Source organism: Homo sapiens, chromosome 8 (assembly GCF_000001405.40).
Source record: "Homo sapiens chromosome 8, GRCh38.p14 Primary Assembly".
NCBI classification, from domain to species: Eukaryota; Metazoa; Chordata; class Mammalia; order Primates; family Hominidae; genus Homo; species Homo sapiens.
Genome location: NC_000008.11, coordinates 56,488,976 through 56,504,927, shown reverse-complemented (window position 1 = coordinate 56,504,927; position 15,952 = coordinate 56,488,976). Strand labels below are relative to the sequence as shown.

The 15,952-nt window shown below is 37.6% G+C and overlaps 2 long non-coding RNA genes across 2 annotated transcripts in view; one reads left to right on the top strand and one right to left on the bottom strand.

The window, feature by feature from the left end:
- PENK-AS1 (PENK antisense RNA 1) overlaps positions 1-15,952 on the bottom strand; it is a 106,261-nt gene that overhangs the window by 47,140 nt on the left and 43,169 nt on the right. The window contains exon 2 of the long non-coding RNA NR_125813.1: positions 8,573-8,705. This is a non-coding gene — a long non-coding RNA (PENK antisense RNA 1). The remainder of the gene's footprint in view (positions 1-8,572; positions 8,706-15,952) is intronic.
- Positions 1,931-9,999, top strand: LOC101929398 (uncharacterized). The gene is made up of 2 exons (XR_001745919.1): positions 1,931-2,402; positions 8,595-9,999. It is a non-coding gene; the product is annotated as an uncharacterized LOC101929398 (long non-coding RNA).

The window sequence follows — 15,952 nt, the reverse complement described above, 5'->3', positions numbered from 1 at the left end:
GAAGGAAGAGGGAAAAGTGAGAAAAAAGAGGAAAAGTTCCCAAAGCAATCAACTTTATTCTTTGTGAATAGCTTTCTAAAATGCACTAGAGCTACTATTCAATATCATGTTGATGATTTTGGCCAATGTAATAAGACAAGAGAAGCAATTAGTAGTCTAAGAATTAAAAAGAGGTATTTGCATGTGATAAAATTATACATCCGTAGCGTCCCCCTAAAAAATAAATCAGTGGAAAACCAGTATTAACAATAAGATAATTTATTATAGTAGTTTAAATGGATACTTTCAAAAATAGCTCTCACATGTAAAACAAAAATCAATTGAAAATTAATGGGAAATTATAATGGGAAAGATTCTATTTACATTTAGAAAAGAAAACATTGGGCATAACTTTAACACTAAGATTAAGAAGTATATAAAGCCTATATGAGGAAAATCATAAAACACTCCTAAAAACTACAGAGCCTACTTAGTGGAAAATGGGAAGACATGCAGTATACCTTGGCAGAAAAACTCATTATCGTAAAGATGTAAATCATCCCTAAGTTGATTAACAAGCTTAATGCCATCTCAGTACAATATCAACAGTCTTTTATCTCTAAAGCTAGAGAAAGTGGTAACAAAGTTCATTTGGAAGAACAAACAAGCAATAATAACTACAAAAGCCCCAGGAAAGGAGCACAGTGGGTTGGTTGTGGGGGGAAACTTTTCCTACTGTGTATAAAATGACATTACAAATTATTGTTACTGTATGAATGATAAAGTCTATATAATTAAAAATAGCATAATATTGGTTCACAGACAAACTAATGTGATAAAATAGAAAATCCAGAAATAGGCATGGTTGTATGTGGAAATTTAATGCATGTAAAAAAGCAGAATTTCAAATCAATGGGGAAAGGATGGCCTTCTTGACAAATAATATTGGGATAACTCAATAGCAATGTGAAAAGTGATAATATAGGATATATTTCTTATAATAGACACCAGGGAAATTCAAAATAGTTTAGAGATTGAAATGTAAAAAATGAAACCACACAAATATGAAAAGAAAACAGAGATGAATTTCTTAATTACCTGAAAACGCATAAGTATTCCTAATCATGATTCAAAACACAGAGGCAACAAGGAGAAATAGTGATAAATTTAGCTCTGTGAAATTAAAACACATTTACAGTAGCAAAGTATAAAACAAATGACAATCTAGAGAAGTATATTTGCCACATGTAACAAACACAAAGAGCTAACTAATATCCTTAATTTACAAAGGCTTCTAAAAGTGGAGAAAAGACCAACAACCTGATAGAAAAAAATGGGCGAGAGGTAACAATAAAAAATTATTTTAAAAAGAAACACAAATGACACTTAAACATATAACAAGATGCTCAATCTTGCTCATAAAAAGTAAATGTAAAGTAAAATTTACTCTTCTAACAAACTGGCAAAAATCCAAATATTCTACCAGTAGCTACAACATGTACAAGGAGAAATAAACAGGTACAAAAATCCATAGAAATTTTTTCCAGTTCTTTACATGCCAGATGGAGTTGCCTGCTCTCACTTAACCAGAAGGACAAGAAGGCTGTAAAACCCAAGATAGTAAAAAAGTTTGGCTCAGCAATAATGTTGCATCATGTCCAAGACTAATTCTTTTTTTAAATGTTCAGTTTAAGTAGTAATAAAGTCAGTGGAGATGAAGTTTGGCTTTTATTTAGTCAACCAACATTGATTATCTACCATATGCCAGACCCCATCTCCTTTCCCTGTTAAAATCAATATCTTTGCAGAAACACTAATGTTATCAGCATGTCCTGGATATGCAAAGAGAAGAGGCAACTGGAGAGAACTACCCACAAGAGAAGGAGGAGAAAAGGTGCAGGAATGGACAGAAACTGGCCAATCATGAGGCTGAATAAGTGGCCCTAAGTCCTACCCTGCTGAAATATTCCTGAAAATGGTGTGAAGACTAGAAAAACCTCTTATCAAAATTCTTCAGTGGTTGTTTCTTTCCCTTGTCCTCAAAACTGAGATTATTACAATATCTTTCTTGTTTATTCAGTACCTACACCTGGGATTTCCAGGCTCCTTACAATGGCATCCATCTCTGCTGATAACCACCGTGCTTGGAACTCTAGCAAGACTGTGGCAACCCTGGGCAACATAGTAAACAGAGGGCAAAATAGTGGCCCTCTGTTTGAAGCAGAAGCCGTTTCACATTAGATGTTGCCTATGTTCCAGTGGCACATAAAATCCCACATTAAACAAGACATCATTTTGTTGTACATCTTTCATCATTACAGTTGGGTAAGGAGGTTGGGGAGATTTTGTCTCTCACCACCTCTCAGGAAGTTGGATGTCAACATATGAACCCCTCCCCTCTGTTACCAAGGGTGAGAGATATTGTAAGTATTCTGAAATGAGACACAGTTTGAAAAAAAAAAAAGGAAATGTTTTCTATCAAAAAACCCTATCTCAACTGGACAGATTTGGAATGCAAGGGAAGTTTCCTGAAATATGCACTTCTCTAATTCAATCTGGTACACTTGAATCAGATTTGCAGGATAATTGGCTCTTTTGGACATTTAAAAGCAAAATAGCCAGGTTTGCTAATAGAAGATCAGGTGTTGGGTCTTTCAAAATATTATTCACAGTCATTAAAACAGTTCCAGTAAAAACACTCTAGGACGATGTCGTGCCTGTTAGGCAGTGCTGTGAGATTAAACTGACAGGCATAGATAGCATCACAGGCATCTGCCGGCTGCCAGCACCAGGAGGGGAAGCTCCCAAGGCCTCCATAGGATTTTCCAGAACTCTTGTCCAGGGCCCCATCCTTTGGCCAAGAAAAACAAAGAAGTAGGGCTTTTATGTGAACTGAAGGAGAACTTGAAAAGAAAATGCCCTAAAATATGGAATACCCTGATGGTTCCAAGTTAGATATGTTTATAACTTTAGAATTTCTTCTTCTTTTAAGTATAGAGTCTTTCAACGAAGTGATCCCCTTGGGGTGTTAGGTGTACTTGAACTCACCCTAACAATAAAATGAAAGAACAGCCTAGCTGGAAGTCACCACTCTCAGCAGCCAAGAATAAAGGTTTTATTTTCTCCCTTGATCATTACCCAAGTTTGCTTTTGATAGATCCCACTCACCAGGGTTTGCCATATTGGCCTATTACAAGGGATGTTTATTTTCTTCCAAATGCTATCATATGCCTTAACTCCACAGTGGCAGCAAGAAAGAAATGTGTGATTGGAAACTGTAGGCACATTGCAGACGTGGATGGATGATTGCCACAGAACAAAAGGAGGCGGGAAGCCAGAGCGGCGTCGCTTTTCCACTGGGGGTAGAAACCCAGACAGTCCTGTGGCGAGATAAGCCCAAACAAACCTTTCTTTCAAAACACATTTTATTTTTTTAAAGATCCATTGTAAGAGCTATTCATATCATATTTTTAAAAATTTTCCTGATTTCCTCATGAGACTCATTCTTAACCATCAGAAATTCATTTTCAGGGGTTTTGTGCTGCAAGATGCAAGACACAGTTACATTAAAAATGTTGTCACACTCAAGGGAAAATGCAGCAAAGTAGTTCACAAAGCCACACAGCACCATCCACCGTATAATTTTTCCATTCTCTATTACTTCCACTGATGAAGTACACTTCCTTCCTCCTTAACCACCCAGAACAGGATTATGTGTGAGACACGCTTCTTTTGTGACCCATAATCAGACTTCTGAAAATCTTTGCAATCATCTTGCCTGCAAGGAGCTAGGTTAGTTTTCGTAAAAGTTGCATGATGCTTTTTTAGTTGATTTAACATTTTTTTGGAAGTACCTATGATTTTTTTTTAAGAGACAGAGTATCAATCTGTTGCCCAGGTTGGAATGCAGTGGCACAATTTTGGCTCACTGCAGCCTCAACCTCCTGGGATCAAGCCACCCTCCTGCTTCAGCCACCTGAGTAGCTGGGACCATAGGCACATGTCACCATGCCTGGAAAATTAAAAAAAAAAATTCATGGAAGTAGGGTCTCACTATGTTGTGTATGCCGGTCTTGAACTCTTGGCCTCAAGTAATCCTCCTGCCTCAGCCTCCCAGAGTGCTGAGTTTACAAGTGTGAGCCACAATGCCTGGCTGTATCTATGATTTTTACTCCCTGTTCTTATGTACCTATCATTATAGGTTTAATTATAGAATACTTTAATGATGCTATGCAGAATTTGAGATTGTACTACTTGGGTTTGAAGAGGAAGAGAGTGCAAATGCATACAGTTTAACAATTCTGTAAAGATGTGCCTGCATGTAGATTTTGTTGTTGAAACAGGGAATAGAAAGTTACAAACTGGGTGGAAATTCCACCACATCTAGGAATGCAACAAGCAGCTTAAGATGAAAGAAAATTCCAAATGGCTTTGGGCATTTTTCTGGCTTTATCTCCAGTTTGATTTTTAGTGATCTGCTCATAGCTCTTAGTCATAGATATTACATATATTCTTTTGTATAGATATTTTAGTACATTTCCTTGTAGAGGTGTTTTGTGATTTAAAAAAAGTGTTAGTGCTATATCTTTTTATTAAAAGATACATAGTACAAAGGAAAATTGGCACTGACTGCAGACATGTTGATTGGAAACATGGTCAGGCTATTATTTCAAAGACGAAGGTAAAATCTAAGTAGATGTTTTATAGACTGTCACTTGCCAGGACATGTTACAGCTCCTCAGAAAAAAACACATGAAACTGAAATCACAATTCTTTGTTTGTTCAAAAAAGATAGAAAATATATCAAAGTACATTTTTTACTGTGTTATTTCCTAAACACAGGAAGTAGAATTATTCTGTCACAGAAAATATAATCCTCAATATATTTATTTGCAGGTTAAAATTCTTGCTAACTGCTTATAACAGCACACATATCATTTAGGTTCTTCAAAAAGTTCATGGAAATTCATATTATGAAAAAACTATGCAAAGATTTCAAAACTTGTTTACACTGAAATAAACTTGTGCTAACTTGTTATACATATATGAATAGGATCTAGTTTGCGTTATTAAGAAGAATAAGATCTCAGTTTGAAAAGCATCCCTATCAGAGCAACATGAATTCTGCTGAACTTGATGGAAGAACAAACATCAAATTTATCGTGAAGCTTGGGTGGAAGAATGGTGAAGTCACTGATGCTTTACAAAAAGTTTATGGGGACAATGCCACAAATAAATCAGCAGTATACAAATAGATAACTCGTTTTAAGAAGGGACAAGATGATGTTGAAAATGAAGCCCACAACAGCAGACCATTCATATCGATTTGACAGAAAAAATTCATCTTGTTTATATCCAAACTGAAGAGGACAGATGATTAGAAAATGAAACAATAGCCAACACCATAGATATCTCAAGTGATTCATCTTACACAATTCTGACTGAAAATTAAAGTTGAACAAACGTTCCACTCTATGGGTGCAAAAACATTGCATGACAGATCAGCTGCAGACAAGAGCAGAGCTTTCAATGGAAATTTTAAACAAGTGGGATCAAGATCCTGAAACATTTCTTTGAACAACCGTCACAGGAGATGAAACATGGCTATACTATGTTTGAAGTATGATCCTGAAGACAAAACACAATCCAAGCAATGGCTACCAAGAATTAGCAGTGGTCCAGTCAAAGCAAAAGTGGATCGGTCAAGAGCAAACGTCATAACAACAGTTTTTTGGGGGATGCTCAAGGCATTTTCCTTGTTGACTTTCTGGAAGACCAAAGAATGATAACATCTGCTAATTATGAAAGTGTTTTGAGAAAGTTAGCCAATGCTTTAGCAGACATATTCCCAGAAAAGCTTCAACAGAGAATCCTTCTCTACCTCGACATACTCCTGCCCATTCCTCTCATCAAACAAGGGCAATTTTATGAGGATTTCAATGGGAAATGATTAGGCATCAGCCTTACAGTCCTGATTGGCACTTTCTGACTTCTTTTTGTTTCCTAATCTTAAAAATATCTTTAAAGAGCACTTATTTTTCTTCAGTTAATAATGTCAAAAAGACTACATTGACATGGTTAAATTCCCAGGCCCATCAGTTTTTTAGGAATGGACTAAAATGGCTGATACCATCACTTACATAAGTGTCTTAAACTACATAGAGCTTATGTTGAGAAATCAAGTTTATATTGTTTATTTCTTTCTTTCTTTTTTTTTTTTTTTTTGAGATGGAGTTTCACTCTTGTTGCCAAGGCTGGAGTACAATGGCACGATCTTGGCTCACTGCAACCTCCACCTCCTGGGTTCAAGTGATTCTCCTGCCTCAGCCTCCTAAGTAGCTGGGATTACAGGCATGCGCCACCACGCCCAGCTAATTTTGTATTTTTTAGTAGAGACAGAGTTTCTCCATGTTGGTTAGGCTGGTATTGAACTCCTGACCTCAGGTGATCCTCCTGCCTCGGCCTCCCAAACTGCTGGGATTACAGGCATGAGTCACCATGCCTGGCCTCTATCTTTTAATTCCATTTTCCAAGAACCTTTTGAAGTCCTCTTCTATATTACAGACAAATAGTCAATGGATATTTGTTCAGTTATGTTAACCTGAATTAATTGTATCTCCAGAAAAAGTGTTTGGGTGGAACCAGTAATGTTTTAGAAAATACCACTTTGCTTTCTAAAGCACAAAAGCAAAGAAGTGCAAAGCCTGTCTTCTACAAAGTTTTTTTTAATAATATATATTTTTCAGTCAACGACAGAACCAATTACTAGAAATAAATAAACTGGGACTTTTAGAAATGCGAGAATATGAGGAATATGTACCACTCAGTCAATTGTCTTCCTGTGTGGCGGCTTGCCAGACAATCACTGGAGACATCTGGAGGCAGAGAACAAACACTTCTGCCCACTTCTCTGCTCAAACTTGAGTCATCTGCTATTTGTACTTAGAGAGGTAAAGAGCAAAACTATCTCAAGGCAGACACTAGCTTCAGGCATTTATCTGTCCAAAGCTGAGAACCCACTGTTTCGTCTCCACCAGTGCCTCACACCCCACTTTGGGAGGCTAAATATTGTATATGTTTTCTTTTCCATTCATCCTCTTCACCTTGTTTCACCTGCTTGGCCTCAATCTTTCCCATGGGAAATGAATGAATGAATGAATGAAAAATATAATTGAAGATCAACATCTTATTTCTAGCCTCTCTTATTTCAACCTATAGAATAGAGGGTAGAGATAGACAGCAGGGGATGGAACAGATGTGCCTCACTTTTTTCTCTTGCCTTGCAGTTGAGAATTGGGTTGTCAAGTTGAAGAAAAAGAAATTGTGTCTCCTTTCTGATTAATGGTTCAGTGTTCTTCCATACTGCTTTCCCAAAAAGATGGGTAGAGAACAACCCTCCAAATAGGTCTTCTTCCTAACAGTACACTCTGAACCAAAACATAGACTACTAAGAAATAAATTTGTATTATTATAAATCTTAGTTAAGAGATTGAAATAGATTTATTTAGTTTCTAATACAGAATATAAGGACCAATAGCTACAAAACAATTCAGGTAAATATAATTAAGGAAAAGATTTTGAGTGAGAAGTAGGAAGGTCCTTAGCTTTTAGGACAAAATACCATCAATCTGTCCTCCTGCTAATGATGACAGCCAAAAATGCTGTCTATTCTTTATTGATGGCAATAGTACCAATTTCAGTGTCCTGGTTATTTTGACCTTATTAAAACCCAAATGACTTCAGAGAAACGATATTGAAGACTTACTATCCAGCTTGGGATCTAACACAACTATTCCATGTGAGACCTTGGTTTTCTCAATCTCAGTAATTTTCAGAAATCAGCATAGTCATTTTTCTTTTTTCCATCCACACCCCCCATCCCTTGTTTATGGATGGCAGAGGCCCAGATGGCAGTACCCCAAAAATACCAACCTGTCTCTATACTGAAGAATTATCTGGGGATAAACAGGGAGCAAAATGCTGAATAAATTTATTCCTGTGTTAATGTCTTCATCCTGTATGGGTAGCAATAAAGAACAATCCACCAGACAAACCATTGGAATAGAATTAAAAGAGCAATAAAGGCAAGTGGAAGAACAAAATTAGGAAACCAAGTCCAAGATATGCTGATGGATGGTAGTCTCAGCTTATAGGAAGGAGTTAGTCAGAGATATCTTGTGCATAGAGCTGAGTCAACCCCGGCTAGTGAGATGGTGGTTATGAGGGGGCCAGTGGCAGATGTGTGGTCTAGATGGGAAAATATGATAGGAGAGATGCTCAGGCAAAGAAGGTGAGAGAAGGAGCTGATTAAGAGCCGGAGACTTGAATGAAGGAGTTAATGAAAGAGTAAGGTACTTGTGAGCAAGAAAGATACACTAAAAAAGAGACAGGAAACCTGGGCCTACCTGTGGAAATTTGTTTAAAGCTGACCATCCTTTAGGCTTGCCATACAATTGCTGTATGACTGACATAGTTCCTCATATTTGAGACAAAGTTTACTTCAATTCTCATGCAAAAGTACATTTTATTGGCTAATTAGGTTTCTACCTGCAGAGACACACATACAAAAAAAACCGTAGTAGCAACATCTTACTGGGTTTTCTTAAATCCAACAGGTGGCTTCTTCTTGGATATCTGAATGGTGGTGAGATCAACCTCTGGGCCAGCCAAGTATGGAACTCAATCCAAAACAACGGACTTCTTTTGTTTCGTGTCAGTTCAGCTTCCTACAAACAAAATTAAAGCAGCATTGGTTTAGTAATTGGAAATGCATATCAAAGAAAAGAAGCTTAACTCAAAACAGATTTTCCTAACCATCTTCAATGTACATGTGTAGGAGAAATGCATTCTTTATTTGTAGCAGTGCAAATGTCAGTGATTACAAACATGTGTGTGACTGTTTGCCAGCAATTTGTTCTTGCCCTTGGATGATCAGACCCTTACGGAATCTAGGCAGACTGTGGAACTTCCATTGGCTTCCACTGGCTTTGGTGTGAAATATAGAGATATGAGTAGTGGTGACAAGAGGGGACACGGGAAAGGCCCGTGGGAATAGGCCTTTGAGGGGAAGCACGCTGATCTCTTGTTCTGCAGCGCATGCTTGGGATGGTATGCGCATGCCTTCTCTCACTAAGACTAGGACTGCTTACAGAATGCGAATATAAGTATCCTTATTTGGGAGAAAAGTACATTTTCAAGGGCTGGTAAAATGACGTGGAGGAAGGGAGGATCCAGGGAGCCTTCTGAAGAGTATTGTCAGGATGTCTCTTCTCTTTCAGCCACCTGGATATGTTTCACATTTTGTTTCCCAAACAAGGACTAGATTGGATCCCAGAAGGGAATGGTTTCCTTAGTATACATTCCGAATTCCTTTGTAAGGGAAAAATCCACTTCATCTGGTCTAAGAATACGTAAGAACAAATGAAAATGTTGTGGCTGGAGATGTTCCTGAGTTAATATCAGGATGTTTGCCTGCTGGTTTCTGTTTTACCAAACAAAACATAGCTGCCAATTCATCCATCTGTAAAAGTGCTCCTTGTGGACCCCCTCAAGAGAAGTACTGGTTATTTTATTTGCAGAAAACGTTTTATTGGGAGTTGTTTACTTTCTGTGACTGAAGTGGGGAACATGAGGGTCCCTTTACGGAGCCCTCATATTCCATGTGTACTCTGTATTTTATTGAGGCTGTTTCCCAGTCAGAACAGCGTCTCTCTTTGTTTGTCATTCCAAATCTTTCAGTGTCTTTAGAGCTCTGAGGGCCCTGGAGAGCCTCACCCAACCTCTCATCCTTCCATGGCTGTCCCCACCTCTGTGCACTTATGAGTCAATGTTGCCGCACTTCATTACATGCTGTTCATATTACAGCATTATAAGATTTTTTCTTTTAAAAGCCTATCTTCTTCAATCGGGTAGTAAGACCATTGTGGGTTGAGGCATGTTTCATACTTCCCACATAATCACTCCAGACTTAAAACAGAACCGGAAATACATGAAATAAAAAATTATTTTTCTGTTCTCAAATAAAAATTATTGTTCTGTTCTCTACAAATCTCCAAGTGCATAATGCAGCAAATATGCAGGTTATTCTGATATTCTACACTATTATTTGATGAAAAAGAAGATTTTTAAATATGCAGTAATAGGGAAAATCCTGTGGTCATTTAATGATTCTGGTAAGTCAAGGAGAAAAAGGTATAATTAATGAGTAAAACCAAAGTGCACAAACTATGTAACCAGGAAGAGAAATTGAAAATTGAATAACAGAGACTTAGATGGTGGGGGATGCAATTGTCTGGGAGGGGAATTTTTAAAGCAACTTCTTTGGATTTTATAAAAGTTATAAGCTTCAAGAAAGAGGATCCATCTCCCATTTTTTTTAAAACAATTCAGCACTTGATTTAAAACATTTGAAGGATAACTAAATAAATGTAAAAAAAAAGAGACTAAATTCTAAATTGTAAGGGCGGGTTTAATCAGAAAACACAGTCTTCAAGAAGAGAATTTCTTATGGCTGCATAGTATTCCATGGTGTATATGTGCCACATTTTCTTAATCCAGTCTATCATTGTTGGACATTTGGGTTGGTTCCAAGTCCTTGCTATTGTGAATAGTGCTGCAATAAACATATGTGTGCATGTGTCTTTATAGCAGCATGATTTATAGTCCTTTGGGTATATACCCAGTAATGGGATGGCTGGGTCAAATGGTATTTCTAGTTCTAGATGAGTTCATGTCCTTTGTAGGGACATGGATGAAATTGGAAATCATCATTCTCAGTAAACTATCTCAAGAACAAAAAACCAAACACCACATATTCTCACTCATAGGTGGGAACTGAACAATGAGAACACATGGACACAGGAAGTGGAACATCACACTCTGGGGACTGTTGTGGGGTGGGGGGAGGGGGGAGGGATAGCATTAGGAGATATACCTAATGCTAAATGACGAGTTAATGGGTGCAGCACACCAGCATGGCACATGTATACCTATATAACTAACCTGCACATTGTGCACATGTACCCTAAAACTTAAAGTATAATAATAATAATAAATAAATAAATAAATAAATAAATAAATGCTTTGACATTTCATCATTAAAAAGGTTTAATCGTTATAAGTTTCAGGGATAAATCTTTTTCAGCTTAAGTAGATTTTATTTCTAGGTTATGCAGAGGAGAAATGATTATGTTATTAAAATGTATAAACAGAATTATTAATACATTTATATAACACATATTAATATACACACATTCTTTCAAGTGATTTAATTTAAAGAATTTCATTAGTAAATTTTATAATGTTGAACTATCCCTGCATTTAAAAAAATAAACCCTACTTGATCATGAAAAAAAAAAAAGAGAGAATTTTTGGCAATATGGTGGATCACCTATTGTAAGGAGGGCCTCTACCTGCTACAAACATAAAATACTGGATGACATAAGTATAAAAAGTATTTCCAAATATATCTTGAAGCTTAAAATACACAGAAATGTCCAGTTGTCAAGTATTAAGAATGAAAGAAAAGAAAAGTCTGTACAATAGAGGGAAGCTAATCCTACCAGGGCAGTGGGGGCGGGGACTTTAGGGTCAGATATGAGGATTCTGACACTCACGCAGAGAGAGGGAATATTGCTACAAGCCTGCACTAAGGAGAAGGAGCTCTATGCCTTCGCAGACACACACACACACACACACACACACACACACACACACACACACAGAGGCTGCCCACCACTAGCCTTGGGAAGCAGCAAGAAATGTTGTTATGTATCCAGGCCTTAATGTTGAGACAAACGCATCTGTAGATCTGCACCAAGTGCAGTTTTGAAATTACACTATCTTCCTTACCTGAAAGCCTCAAGCCAATAAATGAATATAATCGTTGTTCCGGGAACACTGACACCTCCCCTACGGCCTGTTTATCAGTTTGGGTTAGGCAAAGATGACTTAGGAAACAAAAAGCACAAAACATAGAAGAAAAAAACTGCTAAATTAGACTTCTTAAAAATAAAAAAGTATGCTCTTGAAAAATACTGTAAAGAAAATGAAAAGAGAAGTCACAGACGGGGAGAAAATATTTGCAAAACATACACCTAGTAAAGGACATGCATTTAAATTATAAAGAACTCAATTTAATAATAAAAAGGCACAAAACTCAATTTTTAAATTGACAAGAGATTTAAACAGACACTTTACCAAAGAACTTTTTTAAAATTTAAAACTAACAGTACGACGTGCTAGCAAGAATGCACAGCAGCTAGAACTCTCATACACTGCTGATAAGAATGGAATGGTACAATGACTGGAAAGCTGTTTGTTTCTTATCGTACCCATAAGCAATCCCACACCTAAGATGTTACCATAACAGCCCTGCAACTCTACTCCCAGGTGTTTACCCAAGAGATATAAAAACACCCATAGGTAAATGTTTGTGGCAACTTTATTCAAAATTGCCAACAACAGAAACAACTAAAATGTCCACCACTAGTATGGATCAACAAACCGTGATACACTCATGCTATGGAACACTACTCGGCAATAAAAAGAATGAACTACAGATGCATGCCACAATCTACGTGAATCTCAAAAGCATTACACTGAGTGAAAGAAGCCAAATAACAGCTATATCCTCTATGATTTCATTTATATGACCTTCTAGAACAGGTAAAACTATAGGGACAGAAATCAGATCAGTGATTTCCAGGGACTGGATGTGGGGGAAGGGGATTAAATACAAAGGTGCATTAGCGAAATTATCTGAGTATAGGAATATTCTACATCTTTTTAGCACTCACATGAGCGCATACATTTGTCAAAACTCATCGAACAGAGCACCTAAAGAGAACACTTTACTGTGTATAAATTATTCCTCGATGAACCCGAGATCATGTTAAATGAGTATATGTTACATTTCTGACTTCGCAAATACTCTATGGAATTAGAGGCTCAACACACATAAATCGAAGTTCCAGAAGTAAAGAACAAGGTGGGTGGGAAGTGGCAGTATTCAAATGTATAATAACTGAAATTTTTACAAAATTAAAGAAATATATTTCTTCATATTAAAGAAGCACCTTAAGTCCTGAGCAAGCAAATAAAACAAACTGCAGAATACCAAGTTACAGAAAAGTCCAATCGCCACTAGAGAAAAAAGATTCACAGTAATGATAATTTTCTCAATGGATACAGGATATCTGAGTCTCCTGTTTCTTGCTTTGTTTTGTTTTGTTTTGTTTAAGATGGAGTCTCGCTCTGTCGCCAGGCTGGAGTGCAGTGGCACGATCTCAGCTCACTGCAACCTCCTCCAACTCCCTGGTTCAAGCAATTTTCCTGCCTCACCCTCCCAAGTAGCTGGGACTATAGGCATGTGCCACCATGCCCAGCTAATTTTTGTATTTTTAGTAGAGACTGGGTTTCACCATGTTGGCCAGGATGGTCTCGATCTCTTGACCTTGTGATCCACCTGCCTTAGCCTCCCAAAGTGCTGGGATTACAGGCATGAGCCACCGCACCCAGCCTGAGTCTCCTGTTTTATTGTCTTCTTCCTATATACCTGTTAAAAACTGTGCTAACATAAGTCAGGCTCCTTTTTTCTCTCTTGCTAATAAGAGAAAATCTCTGCCGAAATCTAAGAGTTGTTCACACTCTAAGTATTTCTCTTTCTCTTTTGACTGATGTTCAACTCTGATGAAAATCCTAATATAATATTTAGAGATGATTCAGAGCTTAAGAAAAAGATATTCTTTGTACTTATATGTTATAATTTATAAGTATTTTAATATAAAATATTCTGCTCTAATTCTACTGAGATAACTCAATATGAACATAGCACCTCCCCAGATATTTAAGAGTAAATATACCACTAATATATTTTGCTTTTGGAATTATCCATGATTTCAGCATGCTATGGAAACAAAGGAGTTTTCTAACTTATTCATGTGCCTCTCCACTGAAAATTCTAAAATAAATTAAGAGCTACCTATTGGAGATAATCTAACATCCAAAGAAAACCAAACTCAGTTATTTAGATTAAAAACTTTTTTTTTTTTTTTTTTTTTGAGGCAGGATCTCCCTCTGTCACCCAGGCTGGAGTGCAGTGGCGTGATCTCTGCTCACTGCAACCTTTACCTCCCAGGCTGAAGTGATTCTCCTGCCTCAGCCTCCCAGGTAGCTGGAATTACAGGCGTGCACCACCATGCCCAACTAATTTTTGTATTTTCTGTAGAGATGGGGTTTCACCATATTGCCCAGGCTGGTCTCAAACTCCTGAGCTCAAGCAATCTGCCCTCCTCGGCCTCTCAAAGTGCTGGGGTTATAGGTGTGAGCTACCGCACCCAGCCTTAACACCTACTTTAAAGATATACTTTTCAATTAACTAATTATTTTTATTTTCAGACAATTATAGATTCACATGCATTTCTAAGAAATAATAAGAAAGAGTCAATATAACCTTTATCCAGTTTCTTCCAATGGTAACATTTTGCAAATCTATAGTACAATGTCACAATCAGGATATTAGCATGCAGTCAAGATACAAAATATTTCCATAACCATAGGGGTTTGTTGTATATTCTTTGGGATTTTCCATGTCATCTGCAAATAGGGATCATTTTCTTTCTTTCTAATCTGTGCGCATGTTTGCTTTGTATTGCCTTATTGCATTTGCTAGAACTTCCAACATTATGTTGAATAAGAGTGCTAAGAGTGGGTATCTTCAGGTGGACTACCAGTGACCTGCACTTTAAAAAATGCTGCATTTCAGAGCCTGGAAAATCTTAAAAAGAAAGTATTTTGAACATACATTGGCCTATTTGCTCAGGGATCTTGTCACAGATGCATACCATTTAATAAAAACCTACATTCAAAAAAAAGTAGACATCTTTGCCTTTGCCCAATCTTAAAGGGAAAGTATAATGTTAGGTGTAGGTTTTCTGTAGATGCTCTCTATGAAATTGAGGAAGTCCCTCCTACTCTTAATTTTCAGAAAATTTTTATCATTAATGGATGTTGAATATCGTCAGATACTTTTCTGAGTCAATTGATATGATGATGAGATTTTTCATCTTTAGTCTGTTAATATGGTGAATTACATTGATTGACTTTTTAAATTTTATTCTTAGAGACAGGGTCTCACTATGTTGCCAAGGCTGGCCTCAAACTGCCAGGCTCAAGTGACCCTCTTGCCTCAGCCTCCCAAGTAGCTGGAAATACAGACATGTGCCACCATGTCCAGTGATATTAATTGATTTTTGAATAATTAACCAGATTTGCATCTCTGGAATAAACACCACTTGGTGATGGTGTCTGTTTTGCATTGCTATAAAGTGATACCTGAGGCCAGGGGCAATGGCGCATGCCTTTAGTCCCAGCACTTTGGGAGATTGAGATGGGCAGATCACTTGGGCCCAGGAATTCAAGACCAGCCTGGGCAACATAAGGAGACCCCATCTCTACAAAAAATTAAAAAACTGGCCAGGTGTTGTGGCTCACACCCTGTGGTCCCAGCTACTCAGGTGAGAGGATTACTTGAGCCCAGCAGTCAAGGCTGCAGTGAGCCATGATCGTGCCCCTGCACTCCAGTCTTGGTGAGAGAATGAGACCCTGTCTCAAAAACACCACCACCAACAACAACATAAATAAATAAATAAATCCTGAAACTGCGTAACTTATAAGGAAAAGAGGTTTATTTGGCTCACAGTTTTGCGGGCTCTACAAGCATAGTGCCAGTATCTGCTTGATTTCTGGTAAGGCCCCAGGAAGTTTTACTCATGGCAGAAGGTGAAGGGCGAGGTGTCACATGGCAAGAAGAGCAAGAGAGAGAGAGGGAAGAGGTGCCATACTTTTATAAATAACCAACTATTGCATGAACTAATAGAGTGAGAACTCACTCATCACCAAGGGCATGGCATCAAGTCATTATGAGGAATCCCCCACTATGACCTAAACAATTCCCACTAGGCCCTATCTCCAG